Source organism: Homo sapiens, chromosome 3 (assembly GCF_000001405.40).
Source record: "Homo sapiens chromosome 3, GRCh38.p14 Primary Assembly".
NCBI lineage: Eukaryota > Metazoa > Chordata > Mammalia > Primates > Hominidae > Homo > Homo sapiens.
The window spans coordinates 31,920,492-31,944,744 of record NC_000003.12 but is presented as its reverse complement, the minus strand read 5'-3'; the positions used below and the strand labels follow the sequence as shown (position 1 = coordinate 31,944,744).

The 24,253-nt window shown below is 41.5% G+C and overlaps 1 protein-coding gene across 11 annotated transcripts in view; it reads left to right on the top strand.

Annotated features, from left to right (window-relative positions):
- OSBPL10 (oxysterol binding protein like 10) overlaps positions 1-24,253 on the top strand; it is a 416,868-nt gene that overhangs the window by 132,948 nt on the left and 259,667 nt on the right. The gene's annotated exons all lie outside the window — the stretch shown is intronic.

Sequence of the window (24,253 nt, the reverse complement as noted above, 5' to 3'; positions counted from 1 at the left end):
TTCATGTGAAGCAACCAGATTGGCTGATGGATGTGCTGGGAAGAAGGTGTCTCCAAGGAGATGAGTCAGTGCCACAGCACTGTATTATAGGCATTATGTATTATAGGCATTAGAGTTGTCCTTAGTCTATTCAGGCTTGTATAAAAAGGACAAAGGGAAAATTTAGGGATGGGGACAGCTATCAGGAAGGTGGTGGTTTTACATAAATCTTTCTCTCCACATGTCCATATGTAAATATATCCATGCTTTAGCAGGCCTGTTAGTTTAAAATATGGATTGCCATTTGAAAACTTGACATTTTCCTAGATGTCTTGAACCTTAGTTCATCTAGCCTGGCCACATCATTTAATAGAAAAGATAATTGCTAACACATGGTTTACCAGTTTGGAAGCTGTTCTTTTATATTTTATGATTATATAATTAATTTATTTTTACATTTAAAAAAGCTGCTTATTTTTGCTGGTAGAAATATAGATTGGTATGACTTTTATGGAAGACAAATAGGTAATCTTTATCAACAGCCTTAGCAATGGTTATATTGTTTGATGCAGTGATTCTACTTGTTGTAAGATATGCTAAAATAGTAATCAAAGAAGTGCAGAAGAAATAATTCATGAAAATGTTCATTGCTGTGTTATTTATGACCACAGAAAATATGCAACAGCCTAAATTGGGGAATAGTTAATAAAGTTATGCTTTATCTATCTGATGAAATATTATTCATATATTAAGTGTTGTTTCTAAAGAACTTTTTTTTTTTTTTTTTTTTTTTTTTTTGAGACGGAGTCTTCCTCTGTTGCCCAGGATGGAGTGCTGTGGTGCAGTCTCAGCTCACTCGAACCTCCGCTTCCTGGGTTCAAGTGATTCTGCTGCTTCAGCCTCCTGAGTAGCTGGGACTACAGGTGCGTGCCACCATGCCTGGCTAGTTTTTTTGTATTTTTAGTAGAGACGGGGTTTCACCCTATTGGCCAGGCTGGTCTCGAACTCCTGACCTCGTGATCCACCTGTCTTGGCCTCCCAAAGTGCTGGGATTACAGGCATGAGCCACTGTGCCCGGCCTCTGAAGAACATTTAATGACAGTGGAGTTAATGCTCTTGATACAATGATAAGTGGAAATAACCCAGTTTTAGTTAAAATATCCATGTATGTCTGTCTCTGTGTATGTGTATAACTAGACAGTAAGATTTTAAGGGAATATTCTGAAATATTAACAGCGACTTTCTCTGGGTGGTGTAATTATTTTCCAGATTTCCTACAATGAACATGTGTTGCTTTTTAATCAGGAAAAAAGTCCAAGTTTTTTTTAAAACTATTGAATGTACTTGATTAAAAAAAATACTGTGTATTATATGACCTAGCAATTCTACTCCTAGGTATATACCCAAAATAATTGAAAGCAGTGACTCAAATAGATACTTGTATGGCAAGGTTCATTGTAGCATTATTCACAAGATTCAAAAATGGAAACAACCCAAGTGTGCATCAGTAGATGAATGGACAAACAAAATGTGGTTTATATGCACAATGGAATATTATTTAGTCATGAAAAGGAATGTAGCTCTGATACATGTGGCAACATGGAGGAACCTTGAAAACATTATGCTAAGAAGTCAAATAAGCCAGTTACAAAAGGACAAATATTGTATGCTTCCCATTGTATGAAATATCAATACTAGCCAGATTCATAGAGGAAGAAAGTAGACTAGAAGATACCAAGGGCTGAGGAAAGATTGGAATGGGGAGTTATTGATTGATAGTTACAGAATTTCTCTCTGGGGTGATGAAAAAGGTTTGGAAATAGATAGTAGTGATGGTTGCATAACAATTGTGAATACAACTAATGTCACTGAATTGTACACCTAAACATGACTAAATGGCAAATTTTGTTATGTGTATGTTATGATTTAAAAAATTTGACATAATTTTTTTTGTCAAAACTGTGTTAGCTAATTGTGTGTTTGCTATTTTACATATGGTGTTTACTTTCAATGACAGTGGCTATCACTTTTTGGTTCATTTATCTCAATTTTTGCTTTTCACTTTTACCCCTACAGACATGCCTGTGCTTTAAATGGGTTTGTTGTTTTGAAGGTTTCAGATGCCAGGCTCAGATGCTGACAATGGAGCCAGGCAGGTAATGAGGCATCTGGGAGGATTTAAAAAAAATGTATAAGAGGAAATGTGTCACTTTTTTTTTTTTTTTTTTTTTGAGATGGAGTCTCACCCTGTCGCCCAGGCTGGAGTGCAATGATGCGATCTTGGCTCACTGCAACTTCCAACTCCTGGGTTCAAAGGATTCTCCTCTCTCAGCCTCTTGTAGCTGGGATTACAGGTGCCCGCCACCCAGCTAATTTTTGTATTTTTAGTAGAGACAGGGTTTCACCATGTTGACCAGGCTGGTCTCAAACTCCTGATCCGCCCGCCTTGGCCTCCCAAAGTGCCGGGATTACAGACGTGAGCCACTGCGCTCAGCCCGCTTTTTATATTGAGCCATACATTGCATTCTTGTGGCGCCATCTCGGCTCACTGCAAGCTCCGCCTCCCAGGTTCACGCCATTGTTCTACCTCAGCCTCCCGAGTAGTTGGGACTACAGGTGCCTGCCGTCACGCCCAGCTAATTTTTTTGTATTTTTAGTAGAGACGGGGTTTCACCGTGTTAGCCAGGATGGTCTCAATCTCCTGACCTCGTGATCCACCCGCCTCGGCTTCCCAAAGTGCTGGGATTACAGGCGTGAGCCACCGTGCCCTGCCATACATTGCATTCTCGACTGGGAGAAGAAGGAAGAAAGAGAAGCCCTGCTGGTAACCAGCAGCCAGCCGATAATAGTTCTGGAATGGTGAAAAGTATTCTGGCAAATCAGATAGCACTTGAAGAAATACAGCTAGCACTTTTTTGCTTTGAAGATTGATTTGGCAGCTAGAAGTGCTAGAGGAAGATCTTTACTTATATTCTCTGCTTCCTGATATTTAAGGAATTTATTTCACTTGCAATTTAACACTAGTCCATTTTCTTTCCCTTTCAAAGGAAAGATGGGCCCCTCTGAGATGTGAAAGATGGCAGGTGGCTGAGGCTGCTTCTCTTAAAGCTACCTCTTAGCAATCCATCTAAAAATGATTATGGAATACAAGAAATTGGGGTCAGCAGGGATCTTGGCAGTAGGCAGGCAGCCAGATCCCTCTCAGGGGAGTTTGAGGTGTCTAGACTTGATGCTTTTGAGCTCTTGGTACGTTTCCAAATCATTGTTTGGCTCCTAGCTGCTTCTGTTGGAATTTACACAGCTCAGAGAGATTTGTTGGGCTAACTCTTGCCTCTGCTTAAATCAACTGAAAAAGTGACCACTTTCGTATCCATCAAAGAGTCTTCCCTTTGCTCAGGATGCCCTCCCTGAGATTCATTTATTTACCCAATAAGACTTTCATTTTCCTTTTATCTTGGCTTTTAGAGTAAGAGTTAGCAGAGTCTGTTTGTCTTGCTTTTCTTTTTTGTTTGCACCGGATCTTGATATAATACAGTCTCCTGTGTATATATGGTTACTGAAGTATTAAATATAAAATACTGACCTTTTATTCTTTCAAAGTTATTTCCTTAAATATTGATATTGCAACTGTTCATCCTTCTGTGTTTAGCTTGAGGAGAAAGCAATTTTTGAATGTTTCATTCACCTGTCGGACAAACGTTGAGTACATTTACCATTCTCAACACCTGGCACACCCTCAGCAAATAACTTGGAGACCCTGTGCTCAGGGAATTCACATTCTGGGGAGGGAAATGGTTAAGCACAAGCCTTTTTTAAGATGAGAGAGTTGGCCAGGTGTGGTGGCTCATGCCTGTAATCCCAGCACTTTGGGAAGCCAAGGTGGGTGGATCACGAGGTCAGGAGTTTGAGACCAACCTGGCCAATATGGTGAAACCCCGTCTCTACTAAAAATACAAATCTAGTTTGGGGATTGGGAAGACTTCCTGGCAGTAGTAACATCTACGCTGAGTCTCAAAAGACAGTAGGAGGTGGCCATGCCAAAGCTGTGGGGTTGTTCAAGCAGAGAGGCCAGGGGTGAAGGAGAACATCATCTATTTGGGAAAAGATAAGAACTTCAGTATGAGAGCAGGGTAGCCTGTGAAGGAAGGTGACGAAGAAGGAGTACAGAGAATCATACAGGTATGAAATCCCAAAGGCCTTTGCCATGAGATTGTGGCACTCTCAGAAAATACTTAAAAAAGGGAAATGAGGTGGCAATTTTATACATTCATATTATCAACACATCAAACCAGATATAGGACATCTCCACCAGCCCAGAAAATTCCCCAGTGCCCATTTCCAGTCAGTCACCCACCCCACCTCTCTACAGCTGCTTTCTGACTTTTATCACCAGTTATGTCTTTCTCAGATTTCATGAAAATGATGTTACGTAGTAGGTGTTCTGCCATGTCTGGCTCTCTTAAGTCAACATAATACTTTGGAGCTCAGCCACATTGTTGAGTGCATCAGTCGTAGCTCCTTTTCATTGCTGAGTAGTGTTCCATTGTATGGGTTCACCCAGTTTGCTTATACATTCTGTTGATGGACATTTGGGTTGTTTCTAGTTTTTGGCTTTGATGAATAAAGTTGTTGTGAACATTTCTTGTGTAAGTCTTTTTTGTGGACATATATTTCTATTTCTCTTGGTTAAATACTTAATCATGGGATTGCTAGGTCTGGCTGTCTATTAAAGAATATATGGAGTGGGCTGGGTATAGTGGCTTATGCCTATAGTCCCAGTGCTTTGGGAGGCCGAGGTAGGAGGATTGCTTGAGGCCAGGAGTTTGATACCAGCCTGAACAACATGGTGAGACCTCGTCCCTCTATTAGCCAGGTGTGGTAGCATGCACCTGTAGTCCCAGCTACAGGAGGCTGAGGCAGGAGGATCGCTTAAGCCCAGGATTTTGAGACTTAGGTTCAAGACTGGCAGTTTGAAAAACAGTGAAGTAAAAGGCAGACAGAGGGAAAAGATTGGCTAGCAAGATAGAAAGAAACCCAGGAGTGTGTGCATGAATTGAGGGCTCAGGGAAGATGTTCCAGAGAAGCCAGGTCAAGTGTGGTCTGAATGTGTTTGTGGAGTTTGGTCACTATGGCCATGCTGGTGTGCTGCTGACTGTAGCTAGGGGAGTTTCACTGGAGGGGTGGGGAAGGAAGCCAGATTCACTGGGAGAGAAGTTGGGAGAGATAAATCTAGAAGCTTGACTGTGAAGAAGAGGTCATAGTTGGAGCAGGCGTTAGGTCTGAGGGGAATTTTTTTGTTTTTTTTTTTTAAGATGAAAGAGTTGGCCAGGTGTGGTGACTCATGCCTGTAATCCCAGCACTTTGGGAAGCTAGGGCGGGTAGGTCACAAGGTCAGGAGTTTGAGACCAACCTGGCCAATATAGTGAAACCCTGTCTCTACTTGAAATACAAAAATTAGCTGGGTGTGGTGGCATGCGCCCGTAGTCCCAGCTACTCGGGAGGCTGAGGCAGGAGAATCGTTTGAACCTGGGAGGTGGAGGTTGCAGTGAGCCAAGATTGTGCCACTGCACTCCAGCCTGGGCGACAGAGTGAAACTCTGTCTCAAAAAAAAAAAAAAAAAAGGATGAGAGAGTCTTGGCACATTAAACTGAAAAGAGAGGGAAGTGTGAGAGCATAAGAGAGCATTAATGTAGTAGAGCAAATGCCTGGGAAGTCTAGTGTGGATAGAGTTCTGAGCTGGGATGCATGTTGATCTGAAGCAGGAGGAAGGACATTTATCCACTGAATGGGAAGGAAGACATTGATGGATACAGATGAAGGTGAGTTTGAGGGTGGGCAGGAAGTTGAAGGCGTTCTTGCTTTACTCTCTGTAAAGTAGGAGGTGAGGTTATCGTCTGAGAGTGGAGTTAGAGGAAGGGTTGATGGTGGACCCTGAGGCTTGGGCAAAGTCGAGGAGGTTTGAAAAAGCCTCTGGCCAGGCATGTTGGCTCACACCTGTAGTCTCAGCACTTTAGGAGGCTGAGACAGAGGATCACTTGAGCCTAGGAGTTCGAGACCAGCCTGGGCAGCATAGTGAAACCCCATTTCTACTTACCTGGGTGAGTTGGCGTGTGCCTGTAGTCCCAGCTACGTGGTAGGCTGAGGTGGGAGGATCACTTGAGTCCAGGAGGTCAAGGCTGCAGTGAGCCATGATCGCACCACTGCACTCCAGCCTGGGCGACAAAGTGGGCTCTATCTAAACAAACAAACAAACAAAAAACCCCACAAAAACTTCTGAGGGGAATGGAAAGAGAGCTCAACAGGTTTGCTGGACAGCTCTGAGGGTGTCCAGAATGGAGCCCCTGAATCTGTTATGCCATCTGCTGTTAATGGTTGTGTGGTTTTCTCCTTGGTGTTGAGTATCCTGAGGAGAGGAACAGAGAAGGTGATAGGTAGAAGGATCTGGGGTTGGGATTTGGTTGAGTGAGTGTTTAAGAGAGTGTGAGGGAGTTGAGATCATTGGTTAGTGGGCAGTTGATGTAGGATGGAGGAGAAAGGAGATGTAGACAGAAGAGGCCTGTCAGAGAAGAAGAAAATAGAGGTGCTAGCAAATTGGAGCATCAGAAGAGATGGAAGAGTTGGTGTGGTGGGAGAGGTGGCATGAGAGATCTCAGGGAAGGAGTTCGTAGGGTCAAAAGGAAATGCAGTGAGATGTTTGGCAGGTACTGTCAGAGTTGGAGCCATTCTGAGTAGTGATGGGAAAGCCACGCTAGGTCTTTGGGAGGAAGACAGTAACACCAAGAAGGAGGTTACAGAATGAGGTCAAGGAACTAATTGGGCAGTGTGCTTGGTGGATTCTAAGGTCATTTGGAATGACTGCTGGACTTGGTGACTCAGGGAGGACTGAACCAGGGGAAAAGGTCTTCAGCGAATGAGATAGAATGATTGAGAGACATGGAGGTAAATTTTACCCAAGAGTGGAGGAGTCTTATATTGGAAACAGCTTTGGGCAATAAGGAGAAGCTACAATGTGCTTCCATCAAGAGTTCCAGGTTTCAACCAAGATAAGAAGAGAGGTTGGGGGAAGGGTGGTCCCAAGAGGTTCAGTACAAAGGTGTAGGAGGGTGGGGATCCAAGGGAAGTTTTGGACTGTGGGTGTGATATTGTGGGAAAGGGTCGGGGGTCTGGGGGCAGGAAGGGGCTTGAACTTTGGACAGGACTGAAAGGCATGATGGGGGTGAGTGGCTGTATTGTTCTTCTAGCTCCCCTGCTGGCTAGGAGGAGCCAGTCTTCTCTTTGGAAGCAATTTGAGAAGTGCTCTGCTGGACCTAAATTGATGCTGTCCAAATTTCTGCCTTGAGGCAAGTTGGCTATGCCTTCTCGGATGAGTAATTTCAGCCCCTAAAGAGTATAGCAAATCCATATAACCAAGAGTTGGCAAGAAAAGGCTCTTTATGACATTTGAGTGTTTCATGTTCCTCTGACTTTCTTTCTTTTTTTTTTTTTTTGAGCCTGAGTGTCTCTTGCCCAGGCTGGGTGCAGTGGCGCAATCTCGGATCACTGCAACCTCTGCCTCCCAGGTTCAAGTGATTCTTCTGCCTCAGCCTCCTGAGTAGCTGGGACTACAGGCACATGCCACCATGCCCAGCTAATTTTTGTACTTTTTAGTAGAGACAGGGTTTCACCATGTTGCCCAGGATGGTCTTGATCTCTTGACCTTGTGATCTGCCTGCCTCAACCTCCCAAAGTGTTGGGATTACAGGCATAAGCCACTGCACCCAGCCATTCCTCTGACTTTCTAGAGGCCTGTTTACTGGAAGAGTGAATAATCTCAACTGCTTCTTTTTTTTTCCTGGTATCTAGAAAGCAGAAAGATAAGAAGACTCCTTGGGGTTTCAGTTCCATTCAGTGCCTTGGTTACACGGTGTGATAAGTCATGTCTGGTTCTTGAAAGTCAGCAGTGAATAAGCCTTTCCCAGTGTAGAGCATAGGGTTCCTTTGGGGAATTTAAACACATTTTTCTTTAATGGCTGAAATGAAGTGTGGCTCTTTTCATGGAAGTTTTATGTATTTGACCTATTTAATTTTTTTTTCTTCAGGAAATAAAAAATGCCACTTTCTTACTTCCCTTCCAAAACAGACAACCACTGACTTTTCTTGGCAAGGAGATACCTGTGTGTGTCATGGAAATGGATGGTGTTTGGAAATGTGAAAAATGTAATTTACTTTTTCTTTTCACCATTGAAGTGGATTAAAAGAAGTGAATATTTTAATGGAACTGGATATGATAAATGTCTTTCTTGTGAAAGCTTTAGAATCAGAATGAAAAATTATGTTTTGATTTTTCCCTATAAATATGCACATTTATTCTTGGAAGTAATACTAGAGTCTGTTTGTTACAGCATTTAGCTAACATGAGGTTTCAAAGGACAGTCATTTTGTACAGATTGAATACAAAATATGCAGAAGGGACTGCCTCAGTAAATAAATGCTAAGCCCTAGGTTGTTTTGGTAGTATTTTAAGAAAATAAGAGTTGCTGGTGTACCTTAAAGAATGTAAGAGAGAATAAAAAGAAAACAAAAATGAAAATAGGAGAAAGAAAAATTATTAAAGCATGAGAGGCTGAAGCAAAGAATGAGTGAAACCTTAGAGAAGCTCAGGAATGGACATTTAAAGACCAGTGGGGAATGTTAGAACAGAGGGGAGTTACATAAGGAAATGACAGTTCAGGAGTTGAGAAGGGATGGTGAAGAGGAGAAGGGGGTATGGCCCAACCTGTAAAAGCATAAAGTGGAAAGATAAAGGATTTTTCTCACTAGAATGGTGACTTTACATAAAAAGTAAAAACATATCAGATCCTGCTTGTAGAATTTTGTTATCACTTCAGCAATTTTATTTCCAGAACCCCTTGCTTAAACGCAACCTATTTCCTTTCCCTTTCTACATATGAAAACCAATTATTTTGGCCGGGTGCGGTGGCTCATGCCTGTAATCCCAGGACTTTGCGAGGCTGAGGTGGGTGGATCACAAGGTCAGGAGTTCCAGACCAGCCTGACCAACATGGTGAAACCCCGTCTCTACTAAAAATACAAAAATTAGCCGGGCGTGGTGGGGGTCACCTGTAATCCCAGCTACTTGGGAGGCTGAGGCAGGAGAATCGCTTGAACCCAGGAGACAGAGGTTGCAGTGAGCCAAGATCATACCACTGCACTCCAGCCTGGGCGAAAAGAGTGAGACTCTGTCTCAAGAAAAAAAAGAAAAAAAAAAAAAATCTATTTCATAGGAGTAGATTTTTTTTTCTTCTTTTAGTTCCCAAAGCAGCATTTCCCAGGATGAATTGCACCAAATGCTGTTTCAACAGGCTGTTCAAAGGAAATAAAGAATTTTATGTTCAAATAACTTTGAGAAATACTGTATAAAAAAAAAGTTTAACATGTTTATTTACTGCACAGTTCTCAGATCCCTTAACATCAAATATGTATTTTGAATTTCTAAGATAAATGGTCTCTCTTATCTAATGGAATTCTGGTTTTGCTCTGGGTGGCAAAAATTATAGTTAAAAATTCTCATCTCCCCAGACTCCCCTGTTGCCAAAGGTGACACAGTAGCAGCCAGTGAAATATAAGTAGAAGTGGTTGCAGGGCAGAGGCTTCCAGGAGAGCTTCGGTTTCTTGATAAACAGGATCTGTGAGGCTGGCACACAACTTTCCCATTTCCCTTCCCACCTTCCTGTATGAAGGGGATGTAGCAATCTTGTCCCAGGAAGGCCAAGCGCTAAGAGTTGCAAATCAGAAAGATTGAAGGGGTTCTTGATGGCTTCTTGCAACTACTCTACCAGCCTTGGAGTTTCTATCTTTGGACTGGTTGCTTTAGTAGAAAAATAGAGCCCCGATTGTTTAAACTACTATGGGTAAGTTTCTATGACATGCAGCTGAATGCAATTGTAACTCATACCAGGGTGATATATAGTAAGCAGTAATTGTGCTTATGTTAACCGTGGATATCCAATTTTTTTTCCTTTAAACTATTTAGAAGAGTCTTTGGGAAATGCTACGTTTATGAATAGAAATGTAGTAATATAGTCAGCCTTTTTTTTTCTATAAAAATGAATTTTCTCTTGGGAGGCCGAGGCGGGTGGATCACCTGAGGTCAGGAGTTTGAGACCAGCTTGGGAAACATGGTGAAACCCCATCTTTACTAAAATACAAAAAATTAGCTGGGTGTGGTGGCAGGCACCTGTAATCCCAGCTTCAGGAGGCTGAGGCAGGAGAATCCCTTGAACCTGGGAGGCGGAGGTTGCAGTGAGCCGAGATTGTGCCATTGCACTCCAGCCTGGGCGCCAGAGCGAGACTTTGTCTCCAAAAAAAAAAAAAAAGAATGAATTTTCTGATGGTCTTTGACTATGAAATTTGGGTTTAAAATTTTGGGCTTTTCCTTTGCCTTTTCCCCACACAGATGAAGTTTTTGCTTCCTTTTTTTTTGTTGTTGTTGTTTTTTAAATGGGCCAGGCTGATCTTGAATTCCTAGGCTCAAGCCATCCTCCCCCGCTCAGCCTCCTGAGTAGCTGTTACCACAGACAGGCATCACCATGCCTGGCTTCCTTTTTTGTAAAAACAACAAACAGACCAAAAAAGCCTTTGTAATTAGTTTATGCCTCTTACCAAAGCACTTTATATATGCCAGGTTTTTTTTTTTGTTTTTTTTTTTTTAAACAGAGGTGGTTTTCATTAGCCTATTCATGCCTTCTTTACAGTACAATTGTTCTGAAAATTTGTAGGGGAATTGACTCAGATGTACATTTATTTTCGTCATACTATCAGAGATGTTTAATTTCCTTTGAATGATTTTATTCTTAACTGTAGCACTTAACACTTTTTTCTGTCTTCTTTCCTCTCAAAATTAATGTCTGTAAACTAATGTTTAAGTGGCCTAGAGAGTCTCTTAATGTAAAAGCTTGTTGTAAAGTTGGAAATCTTTTGTAATTTGAATACCCCTTGATTGCTGTCCTTCAGTGCATTGGATTGTCCTAGGGTGTTCTAATAGTATTTCTCAATTAGCTGATAAAAGAATTTTAGAGGCTGGGTGCCCTGGCTCAATCCTGTAATCCCGGCACTTTGGGAGGCTGAGGTGGGAAGATTGCTTGAGCTCAGGAGTTGAAGACCAACCTAGACAACATAGTGAGAGCCCACCGTCTCTGCCAAAAAATGTAAAAACTCAGGGGAATGTGGTGGTGTGTACCTGTAGTCACTACTGCTCGGGAGGGTGAGGTAGAAGGATTGCTTGAGCCCAGGAGATCGAGGCTGCAGTGAGCTATGATAGCACCACTGCATTCCAGCCTGGGCAACAGCAAGAGACCCTGTCTCCTAAAAAAAAAAAAAATTTATTGTTTCCCCCTTAAAGGACATTTAAAGTATACTTCAAATCTCTAGAATATAAAATCAGAATGTTAAAGTTGAAGTGGCCCTTAGCAAATGAGTCTAACCTCCTCATTCTGCAGCTGAAGGGATCGAGAACTTACCGAAGGCCTCATTACTGAGCCAAAAGGATGGCAGGACTGGTGCTCTATTCATGAGTCTGCTCACTCTGGTGATGGCCTGACAATAACAGTGTGGGAAGTTACACAACTCATTTCAGTGATCAGTTTCTCCATGCGTAAAACTGGAGTAACTTCTCATTTGCTCAACCTGCAGTAAAATCTTTAAACTCTTCTGAGTTGCTTGGAATTGAATCCTTATTCTAGTATACTGTATTTGTTGGAAAGGAGAAATATTTGATTTTAGAAAACTTTATTTTTAAATAAATTTGAGTTTATTGCAGTATATAAAATTGAACCTTTTCAAGTGTACAGTTCAATGAGTTTTGACAAATGTATGTCTTATGAAACTGCCACCATAAATAAGAATATTCTACCATCTTAAAAGGTTAGAATTTGTTTTGCTTTGATTAATGAGAGAATACTTTCATTTTCTGTAATAAGAATATGGATAAAATGTTACAACTATTAAAATATTGACATACTTCATTGTTTTCATGAAAGCTGTTAAATTTTTGATTCTCTTGCTGACACCAAGAAGAAGGAGGGGGAGGAGAAGGAGCAGACATCATTAAAATGATGTTAAATAGCCTCTTTGTGACATGGGGAGTGTGTAATGGACTTTAATATTATTCAGGTAGAAAAAATGATAGGTAAGGATATAGTAGACTTATTTTTATTATACGCAATGTAAAACTTTACAGATTTTCCTGTGGGTTTGTGGAGACAAGGTGTTCGTTAAATTTAAATCATAGGGAAACCATTACCAATGAAATAAATTGTATATCTTCTTACATTGTTATTTATTTATTTATTATATTGTTAGAACAAGCAGCATCAAGGTACTTAAGCCATTTGTATCCCATTTGAAAGGCAGGAAGCGAAATCACTTAGGGCATTGAATTTGAGGCAGTGTTGTCTTGGAGGTAAGGAAAGTTTTAAGCTAAGCAAAGAAACTGGGAGATGCGGGTGGAGGTGAGGAGACCGTGTTCGGAGTTGGAAACTCTAGTGAAATGGATTATTTTAGCATAAACTTATCATTGGCAAATAACAGTGTTTGGTTTTCTTAAACTTTTTTTTCTTCAAGTTTCTTGAATGAGAGACCATGTTTTTCATTTTCATTTTTATTTTTCGGTATAATATAATCAGATATATAAATTCTGTAAATTTTTTTTTCTTCATTTAAAAAGATTATTTATTTGTTTATTTTTGAGACAGAGTCTCGCTGTATTGCCCAGGCTGGAGTGCAGTGGCATGATCTTGGCTCACTGCAACCTCTGCCTCCTGGGTTCAAGTGATCCTCTCACTTCAGCCTCCGGATTAGCTGGGACCATAGGCACACACCACCTTGTCTGGCTGTGTTGCCTAGGCTGGTCTCGAACTCTGGGACTCAAGAGATCCACCCACCTCAGGCTCCCAAAGTGATAGGATTATGGGCATGAGCCACCATGCCCAGCCTAAATTCTGTAAATTACATCACTATTTATTATTTATTCATTTATTCAAATAACATTTCTTGAGTACTTACTATGTGCAAGACACCATTCTAAGAGTTTTGAGAATAAAAAGATGGATTTGATAATGAGTGTTCTGTAAGAAGCTTCTAGTGTAATTGGAATTAAAAACATAAGCACAGACAACAGAACTGTAAAGGTGGCTTGGATTTGAATGCCAAGACAAGGAGCGTGGCATTCTGTAAGCAGTCAGCTTCCACTGATGTATAGAGGAAGGACTTCATCAGGTCTAGGCCAAGGTCATCTCCTTAAAGGGAGTTGAATCTGGTGGTGGAGTATAGGTGCATTCTTAATGGGTAGAGGGGAGTATGGAGACCAGCTAGGGGACCCTTGATAATTGTCTAAGGACTTGGAGTGTGTCCACAGAATTGGAAAGGAAATAGGTTAAGCAAGAGATGTTTTAGAGAGAATCATCAGAATTTAATAAGTGGTTGGGGGCTGGGGGTGGAGAGTGGGGAGTGTTTCAAATGCTACTAAGATTTTTTAAAAATTTAATTTGAATTCATTTTTTAGTAGGTATTACGTTCACATGGTTTTCAATCCAAAAGAGAATGCCATGAATTGTTTCCCCCTTCCTTCTGTCTCTCGGTCTCCCTCTCCAAAGATAATCACCAGTGTTATTGGTTTCTTCTATATGCTCCCAGAGATATTGAATGCCTATGTAAGCAGATAGGTGTGAGCACTCTTTTTTACTATCTTTTTTTTTTTTTTTTTTTTTTTTTTTGAGACCGAGTCTTGCTCTGTCGCCCAGGCTGGAGTGCAGTGGGGGGGATCTCGGCTCACTGCAAGCTCCGCCTCCTGGGTTCACGCCATTCTCCTGCCTCAGCCTCCCGAGTAGCTGGGACTACAGGTGCCTGCCACCACGCCCAGCTAATTTTTTGTATTTTTAGTAGAGGCGGGGTTTCACCATGTTAGCCAGGATGGTCTCGATCTCCTGACCTCGTGATCTACCCGCCTCGGCCTCCCAAAGTGCTGGGATTATAGGTGTGAGCCACCGCACCCAGCCTACTATCTTTTTATTCTACCCAGTAGCAATTTATTTTTCACTTACACTGTTTTTTAAAGATCATTCCATAGAAGGAGATAAAAGGCTTCCTAACTCTTTTCTTATGACTACATAGTGTACCTTGTATGGATTTACTGTGATTCATTCATCATTCTGCTATGGATGCTCATGTAGGTAGGTTCCAGTTTTTGCTGTTACAAGCAATCTACATTGCAATACCTGTACATACATACTTTCTCGCATGTGCACCTATTTCTGTGGGGTAAATGTTGAGAATAGAAATAGCTAAGTGTAAAGGTATGTACATTTTTAAATTTTGATATATGTTGCCTAATTGCCCCTTATAAAGGTTGTACACTTCCATTAGCAAAATAGAAAGTGCCTATCAATAGGATGTGGTTTTGAACTGTTGAAAATCTGAGAGGTAAAAATGATTTCTCAGGTCAGTTTTAATTTGCATTTACCCTTTTGTGAATGAAGTTGAACATGTTTTCATACATCAAGGGGCCATATATGTATATGTATATATATCCTTATCTGTGAACTGTTTTTTAATTAAAAAAAAATTTTTTTTTTTTGAGATCTGAGGTCTTGCTGTGTTGACCCAGCTGGTCTCAATCTCAGACGCCTGGTCTCAAGTGCTCAAGTGATCCCCTGCCTTGGCTTCTCAAAGTTCTGGTATTACAGGCGTAGGCCACCACACCTGTTTTTTTTTTTTTTTTTTTTTTTGGTTGGTGACAGGGTCTCACTTGATCACCCAGGCTGGAGGGCAGTGGTGCAGTCATTGCTGACAGCAGCCTTGAACTCCTGGGTTTAAGCCATCTTCTTGCTTCACTGTCCTGTGTAGCTGGGATTACAGGCATGAGTCGCCATGCCCAGCCTGTGAACTATGGCTGTATCTGTTGACCATGTATCTGTTCGGTTATTGGGCTTTCTTTTCTTACTTAGTAAGAGCTTTATTTTTATTTCCTTTTTTTTTTTTTTTGAGACAGAGTCTTGCCCTGTCGCCCAGGCTGGAGTCCAGTGGCGCTATCTCGGCTCACTGCAAGCTCCGCCTCCCGGGTTCACGCCATTCTCCTGCCTCAGCCTCCCAAGTAGCTGGGACTACAGGCGGCTGCCACCACGCCCAGCTAATTTTTTTGTATTTTTAGTAGAGATGGGGTTTCACTGTGTTAGCCAGGATGGTCTCGATCTCCTGACCTTGTGATCCACCTGCCTCGGCCTCCCAAAGTGCTGGTATTACAGGCGTGAGCCACCGCGCCCGGCCGATATTTTACTTTTTGTAACCATCATGAATGAAGTATTTTCTTTGATTATACTTTATAACTGGTTATTTTTTGTCTGTATTAAAGCCACATATTTTACATGTTAATTTTGTATTAGTAAATTTTTTTCTTGTCTAATTATGTTGACGGGAATCTCCAGATCCATGTTAAAAAATGCTGGTTCTTATTTTGTTCCTGAGTAGAATTTCTTGTTAAACATCATGCTGACTTTTATCCTGAGATATATTTTATGATGTTGGAAAAGCATCCATCTCTATCTTTTTTTTCTTCTAAGAATGGATGTTGAATATTATCAGATGTGAATGGATGTTGAGTATTACCAGGTGCCTTTAGAGTGCCTATGGCAATGATGTATGACCTACCATCTAAAAGATTTATTTTTAATCCTAGCTGGATGTTTCCTTTTTAATTCTAGCTGGTGTGAAGGAGATGCAGGCTTGGGAATGAGGTAGTTGAGAGTTGGATGTCTCTGCGATGCTATTGTGCAAGTCAGCTCTTTTATCAAATGCTATCAATATTTAATAAACCTAGACCTAATAATAGATTGACTTTGGATTGTGATTTTTATATTTCTGTCTTTCCCTGTCAACACCTTTTGGTAGCTTCAAGTTAAACTTCTAGTCCAGTTGGGGTTTAAAGGGTATAAATATACATTCTGGGCATTCTTTTTTTTTTTTTTTTTTTGGAGACAAGTCTCACTGTCGCCCAGACTGGAGTGCAGTGGCGGCAACCTCTGTCTCCCAGGTTCAAATGATTCTCCTGTCTCAGCCTCCTGAGTAGCTAGGACTACAGACAGGCATGCACCACCATGCCCGGCTGATTTTTATATTTTTAGTAGAGACAGGGTTTTCAGCATGTTGGCCAGACTGGTCTTGAACACCTGACCTCAAGTAACCCGCCTGCCTCGGCCTCCCAAAGTGCTGGGATTACAGGCAGGAGCCGCTCTGCGCCCGGCCATTCTTGGCATTGTTAATTGTGCAAGTCTGAGGTAGATGGTAGGGTCTGTGTCCTCCGAATCAAGAGTAGGATACTTGGGGGTAGCACACACAATAATTACTGTTTTGGAGCATGCAGATAAACTTTTAAAAGTCACCTTGATGTATGAGTCATTCTTGAAACTGTCAATTAGTGGATTGTTTTTTTCCAGGCAGGTTAAGGTAGATGCCAAATGGACAGGATGTTTTGGTTATGTGTTGCCATTTTTTAAAAAGATCAATACCTCCGAATTAAAGTTGTATAGGGACCTAAGTGCTCATTTTCTGTAGAGTTTTAAATACCATCCGCAAATCTCCATTATTTTTCTTAAAGGTATTTGTCCTTTAGGAGTAGAAAGTAATTGTTGTAAATGTAACTAACCTGAACTTCACCCTCGGGAGTTTAATGACCTTATTTTTACTGGTCGTGGTTCACACTGAATTTTCTCTCACTTCTTGTTCCTCATTCTCTCCATGCAACCTATCCTTTTCGGGCCTTTTTTATTTCTTACTCCTTACCTGTATGGCAGCCTCCCTGTTCCCGACTACAAGGGCTAGTAGGTGGGGGTGGAGAAGAAGAGCTCCATAGTGTTAACATACAAAGATGTGAAGATTCACGGGCTACAGACTCTGTGCCTGGTAGAACCCCACAATTATTCACTCAGCCTCTTTACGCATGTTTTAGATAAGGTGTTCCTGGTTATTATACTAGATTTCTGGAAAAGCCAAATGAGAAGGAGCTGGCATGAAGGCCAGCGGTAGATATACTGATTGCAACAAGGAATAATAGCTGCTGTTTATTGGGTGACCCTGAAAATTATATCAGGACCTTTAAAACCAAGGCCACTTAGGGCCATTTAGTGAAGGGACAAGCCTCTGTTCCTTTTATATCAGTATAGTACAATTTAAAAAATAGTTAAGATGACTCTGGGCATCCAGAAAAGATAAATCTGACATAGGTTGTTCAGTTTACGAAGACAGAGAAGTGTGTGATCCGTTTTTGAGTCAGTTATCTGGAAAATTTACCAAGCAAGGGTTGAAGAGTGGAGATTTCTTGTACTAGGGAAGCTAGCTTAAAAGATGTGTTCTAATGGAAACAGTTAAATAGTTGATGACTCAGTTTTTCTTTAGCAATTACTTTTATGATATGATGTGGTTGAAAATAACCTCCAAATATTCCAGAGTTTCTTTTACATATAATAGTGACGCTTGTTTTTCATGGTAATTGAAAATGTTTCAGATTCAACTTTTGTAATGAATAGTTTTAATTTATTTCAGATTTGAAATGTCAGTGACTTGGGAAGGGTCCAGAGTGTGTAGCTTTTACTTTACCTTTGACTTTTTGTTGTTGTTGTTGTTGTTGAGATGGAGTCTCACTCTGTCACCCAGGCTGGAGTGCAGTGACACGATCTTGGCTCACTGCAACCTCTACCTCTTGGGTTCAAGCTATTCTCCTGCCTCAGTCTCCCGAGTAGCTGGGATTACAGGCATGTGCCACCATACCCAGCTAATTTTTTATATTTTTAGTAGAGACAGGGTTTCGCCATGTTGGTCAGGCTGGTCTCGAACTCCTGACTTCAAGTGATCCACCTGCCTCAGCCTCTCAAAGGGTTGGGATTACAGGCATGAGCCACCATGCCCGGCCTACTTTCCCTTTGATTTTGTAGGTGGCTGAGGAAGTGCAACTGTGTTACTACTTCTGCTGCATAGGTGCTGTGTCATTCATATGTCAAAGTAATAACCTCTGCATGAGAATAACATTCAAAGCACCCTGTGTAGCCCTGTGTACCTACACAGCTTTTCAGACCAGTTCAGGCGTCCACAGCAAGCCTGTGCCATTTTTACTTGTCTTATGTTACACCAACTCCTGAAGTGTGGTGGCTTTCTGAATATGCTTATGGCATATGTGCTGCAAATTTTTGTGATTTCCTGTCTCCATATTCCAGAATTTATAGTAATCTCATGAGGAAGCGAGGTGAAGTTTTTGGTTTATTCCACGGCTTCTCAACCCCAGCACTATTGGCATTTGGGGCTAGATAATTCTTTGTTGTGGGAGAACTAGCCTGTATATTGTAGACTGCTCAGCAGCATCCCTGACCTCTCCCCAGTAGATGGTAATGGCATCTTCTCTGGTTATAACAATAAAAAATCTTTCCAGACATTGCAGCTATCCTCTGGGGGGGCAAAATCACCCATGGTTGAGAACCACCGGTTTATGCTTTATAAAGAGTGATTTTGAGGGCGAATTGACTGTTTATGTTATTATAAGAAAATGAATAAACATTTGTTGAGCACAATTGATAAGCCAACTCCAGTGCAAAACCAAGTATACAGAGGAAACATCCCTGTCCTCAAAGGAAACGTACATGTGTACTAGAACTAGAAATACAATACTTTATACTATGTGACAAAGCCTATAATAGATATAAAGATAAGAGAGTGGTTACTTTTACTATAAAGATATCAGCCAAAGAACAGGAAAGGAAGGAATACTTGACCTGGGTCTCGATGGATCAGTAGGAATTCACCAGAGTGAACTGCAGTGGCCTTCATAACAGAAAAGTCATTGTGAATTAAGGCTAAAGGACTCTACATTATGGTTTGCTTTGGGATATTCTTCTTGTCCCGGCATAATTATTTTTATTTTTATCTTTTTTTTTGAAACAGAGTCTTGCTCTATTGCCCAGGCTGGAGTGCAGTGGCACAATCTCGGCTCACTGCAACCTCCGTCTCCCAGGTTCATGCACTTCTCCTGCTTCAGCCTCCCAAGTAGCTGGGATTACAGGAGCCCACAACCACGCCTGGCTAATTTTTGTACCTTTAGTAGAGACGGGGGTTCACCACATTGGCCAGGCTGGTCTTGAACTCCTGACCTCAAGTGATCTCCCCACGTTGGCCTCCCAAAGTACTGGGATTACAGGCGTGAGCCACTGCGCCCGGCCCCAGCATAATTATTAATAGCACTCCTTTCACTCAAAAAAAAAAAAAAATGCTTTGCATGATGAATTTAACAGTCACTCTGGTAGTCCTGGGGAGTCAAAAGTTTGTGGGCAAGTGATGTGTTTAAGGTGCAGTGAGTTGTCTTATATTGTCAGAGTACTTTAGGGAGTGGGAAGGGATGTGGAGGATGGCTGGAGATAAGGTTAGGACCTATTGTGGAGGGTCGTGGAGGGTCTTGTATGCCATATGATGAAAGTGGAACTTGTCCTGGACAGCCTAGGAGCCAACTAAAACCTCCCGGGCAAGGGAGTGTGTTAGGAAGAGAGAGACAGAGAAAATGGGCTTTTCTGGCCCTTGAGAAGTTCCAGTCTGTTCTATATGTTGAATGCTGCTCCCAAGTACTACTACTTAGAGGAAATAGGTCCCCAGGAGTTTCTCCTTGGCTGAGTTTTTTTGGTGACAGCCAGGTGCTGTTCACAACTGTGTTACTTTCAACTGAGTTTCTTTGTGAAATGCATAAAGGAGACTTCTATTCATTTTCACTTTGTTCTTGACTTGTGAATGAGTGAGATTTTGCTCTGTTACTGAAATTTGAATGAATGGCTACTATTTTAGTTGAAAAGAAAAGATGAAATTATCTCAGGACTTGGCAAAGGATATTCTGTGGGCGAAATCTAGCCTCTAGTCTGCTGCTTGTTTTTGTAAATAAAGTTTTATTGGAACACAGCCACAGTTATTCATCTATGTATTGTGTATAGCTGCCTTAGTGGTACAACAGCAGAGCTGGATAGTTCTGACAAATACCATATGGCTTGTGATGCCTAAAATGACTGTCTGGGCCTTTGTAGAAAAAGTTTGCCAATCCCTCATCCAACTGAATTCAATATTCAAGTCAAGTCACTCAAGTATTTTTCATATCTTTACTCCGATTAAGATAGTTTCAGGAATGGACCAAATTATGCTGATTTTAGTGCATCTATTTGTTCCAAATTGGGCTTGTGTTTTCAATTTTACGGGAGAGATTTTGTTATCCAGGATTTTACCTGAGAGGGATAAAGCTCTAGAACTTGGCTTTTCTGTCTTCCAGGAAGTCTTGAATCTACTCTCTGGATTTGATACCTCACAAGGAAGGTGCTGCCCGGAGAGGCTGGGTGGCTGGACCCGGGCTCTGTGGTGGGGCTCTCTCCCCTCTAGATGGCCATGGACCACGTACTCTTTTCCACTCCAGAGTCCCTTTCCTTTTCCACTCCAGAGTCAATGCCGTAAGAGACAAATATATTTCTTTTTTTCTTTTCTTTCTTTCTTTTTTTTTTTTAGATGAAGTCTTGCACTGTCACCTGGGCTGGAGTGCAGTGGCATGATCTCAGCTCACTGCAACCTCCACCTCCCAGGTTCAAGCAATTCTCCTTGCCTCAGCCTCCCAAGTAGCTGGGATTCCAGGCGCCTGCCACTATGCCCACTAATTTTCTTGTATTTTTAGTAAAGACAGGGTTTCACTATGTTGGCCAGGCTGGTCTTGAACTCCCGACCTTCTGATCCACCCACCTCAGCCTCCTAAAGTGCTGGGATTACAGGCTTGAACCACCACACATGGCCTTGACAAATATATTCCAATTTCAAGCATTTTCAGAAAAGTAAGCTATTATAAATAACATGAATTTGTGTACTTAAGAATATTTTTGGCTTTTAAAAATACAAGTAGATCATACTGGTCTTTTTCTTTTACTTACTCCTCACTGTCTTTTAGAGACAGGATCTCGCTCTGTCATTGAGGCTGGAGTGCAATGGCACAATCATAACTCACTGTAGTCTCAACCTCCTGGGCTCAAGTGATCCTTCTGCCTCAGCCTCCTGAGTAGGTAGGACTACAGGTGTGCACCAAATCAGCTATTTTTAAAAATTATTTGTAGAGATGGGGTCTTGTTATATTTCCAAGTCTGGTCTCGAACTTTTGGGCTCAAGTGATCCTCCCACCTTGGCTTCCCAAAGTGCTGGGATTACAGGGATGAGCCACTGCTCCTGGCTCATACTGGTCTTTAAGAAAACAAACAAAAAGTACAGGAAGAAAAAGAGGCAGTTTTTTGGTTGGTCTGATGCATTTATTTCCTCGTTACGATCCTCTGGTGCCTTCTCATTTAATGACCATGTTTGTTTACTCCCTTTCAAACTGACAACTTTCACTCTGATTAGCATCAAGCTGTACCTGGTATTTGGGTGGGGACTGGACCTTTGGAGAGAGAACCAGGGACAACAGCCATATGTTAACCAGGGACAATGTTAATTAACCAAATTGGTGGTTTAGCTCCCCACCCCTTTCCTCCACCAGTCTGGATAGCTCAGCTTTTTGTAGGATTTGGCTACTTGCCTTCAGAGACTCTTCAATAAGAGGAGAGTGGTTACCCTGGGAAACCAGTTCACATAAATGAAGAATGCTGTTTGGTCATTTATGGTCCTGGACCTTGCCCCTTGTTCTTTCTTTGTGAAGTGTTCAGATGAGCGTTTTCTTTCATCTTTTAGTTGCTCCTTTAAAGCTCCAAGTGATTTTTTTAAACACTGTGAAGCCCTCACAATCAATTGCTTAAAATGTTTCTAGAAATTCCTGGTATCACTTAAAAATAGCTTCCGTTTTGTGCTCTAGAAGGTTATTGTTGCTGAGTGCCAGCAGCTACATTTTAGAATTAAGGCAGGTTTGGCCAGATTGGTGTGCAGTGTGGAGATGAAGAATCCCACCCCTGCAAGACGGAGCCACATAAGAAGCCAGCCGGGGGAACAGATCACTGTAGCCATCTCTGAAAAGTGACAGCGCTAAATCCTTGTCCTGCCTTTCTTCTCTTTCCTTCCAGTTTTTTAAAAAAAATTAATAGACTTTATTATTGTTTTTAGAACAATTTCAGATTTATAGAAGTTTTTTTTTTAGATGGAGTTTTGCTCTTGTTGCCCAGGCTGGAGTGCAATGGTGCGATCCAGGCTAACTGCAACCTCCGCCTCCCGGGTTCAAGCGATTCTCTTGCCTCAGTCTCTCGAGTAACTGGGATTACAAGCACGCTCCACCACACCCAGCTAACTTTGTATTTTTAGTAGAGATGGGATTTCACCATGTTGGTTAGGCTGGTCTCGAACTCCTGACCTCAGGTGATCTGCCCGCCATGGCCTCCCAAAGTGCTGGGATTACAGGCGTGAGCCACTGCTCCCGGCCAGGTTTATAGAAGAACTGATTGGATAATAGAGAGTTCTCACATACTCCCCCCAACTCCCACAGTTTCTCTATTATTAACATTTTACGTTTATGTGGTTACATTACCATTAATAACCGATATTACACCTCATTATTAACTGAAGTGTATAGTTTACCTAGATTTCTTTACTTTTTATCCAATGTTCCTTTTCTGTTCTAGGATCCCTTCCAGGATACCGTATTACATTTAGTTGTCATTTCTGCCCCTTAGGCTCCTCTTGACTGCGATGACAGTTTCTCACAATTCCGTTGTTTTTGATGACCTTGACAGTTTTGAGGACTACTAGTCAGGTGTATTGTAGGATAGTCCTTATTGGAATTTGTCTGATGTTTTTCTCTTGATGAGATGAGGGTTATGTGTTTTCAGAGGAAGATCACAGAGGGAAAGTGGCATTTTTATCACATCATATCAAGGGTACATACTATCAACATGATTTGTAATTGTTGCTGTTGACCTTAATCACCTGGCTAGAAGTAGTATATTTCAGGTTTTTCCCCTGTGAAGTTTCTCTCCTCTCCTGTCCTTTTCATACTGTGCTCCGCAAAAGAAAGTCCCTATGCTCAACCTAGTGTTTAAAGAGTAGGGAGTTAAACTCCTCCTTCTTGAGGGAATGGTTTTACATCATTTATTTGCAGTTCTGATGCCTGGGAGATTTGTCTCTTCTCCATTTATTGAGTAACTTAATCATTATTCATATCAGTATGGAATCATGCATATTTATTTTTTACTCTGGATTATAGACCCATGTTACTTTATTTTGTTGCTCAAATGTTTCCATTTTTGTTGGCCATCGGAGGCTCTTTCACTTGGCTCCTGCATCACTTTGACATACCCCCATCATTGTGGGTTTGAGCACTTCCTTACTTCCTGGTACTACAAGATGCTCTAGACCCATCTTGTGTTATTTCCTGCCCCAGTCTTAGAATCAGCCATTTTTCCAAGGAACCTGACTCCTTTTATTGGAGAATGGTATTACAAACCAAGATGTGGGCACTAGGTATACTTGTTGCCATGGGGTTATCATTTTTTTAGGTCCTCTTAGCTGACATAAAAAAAGTACATGTGTGTACTAAGGTGTATATATACACATATTTTAAAATATTTCTATGTGTAACCATGTGTATCTATATTAAGTTTATCATGAGTTTGACTTATGTTTAACATGTTGATATCTGAACCCTAGCCTATTAGCACATGGATTAATCTAGATTCCTCCTCTAGTTTATCGTTCACCCCCACTTCAATAGTGAGAAACTTGGAGTATTAGTCCATTTGTGTTGCTATAATGGAATACCTGAGACTGGGTAATTTATTTTAAATAATAGAGTTTTATTTGGCTCATGGTTCTGCAGGCTACACATAAAACATAGTGCCGGTATCTGCTTCTGGTGTTGGCTTCAGGAAGCTTCCAATCATGGTGGAAGGTGAAGGGGGAGCTAGTGGATCACATGGTGAGAGAGGGAACAAGAGAGAAGCCAGGCTTCTTTAAGCAACCAACTCTTGGTGTGAACTAATAAATAGAGTGAAAACTCACTCATCACCAAGAAAATGGTCCCAAGCCATTCATGAGGGATCTGCCTCCCTCCCACGACCCAGGCACCTCCCACCAGGCCCCACTTCCAACATTTTGGATCACATTCCAACATGAGATTTGGAAGGGACTGATATCCAAACCATATCACTTGGCCTCTACCATCTACCATCCATCTACTTAATTGTTTAGTTCCAGTACACATGTGTAGCAGTAGCAGCATTGGTAACCTGCATCCCCATGGGAAGCAACTTTATCAGCTAGAGTACAATTC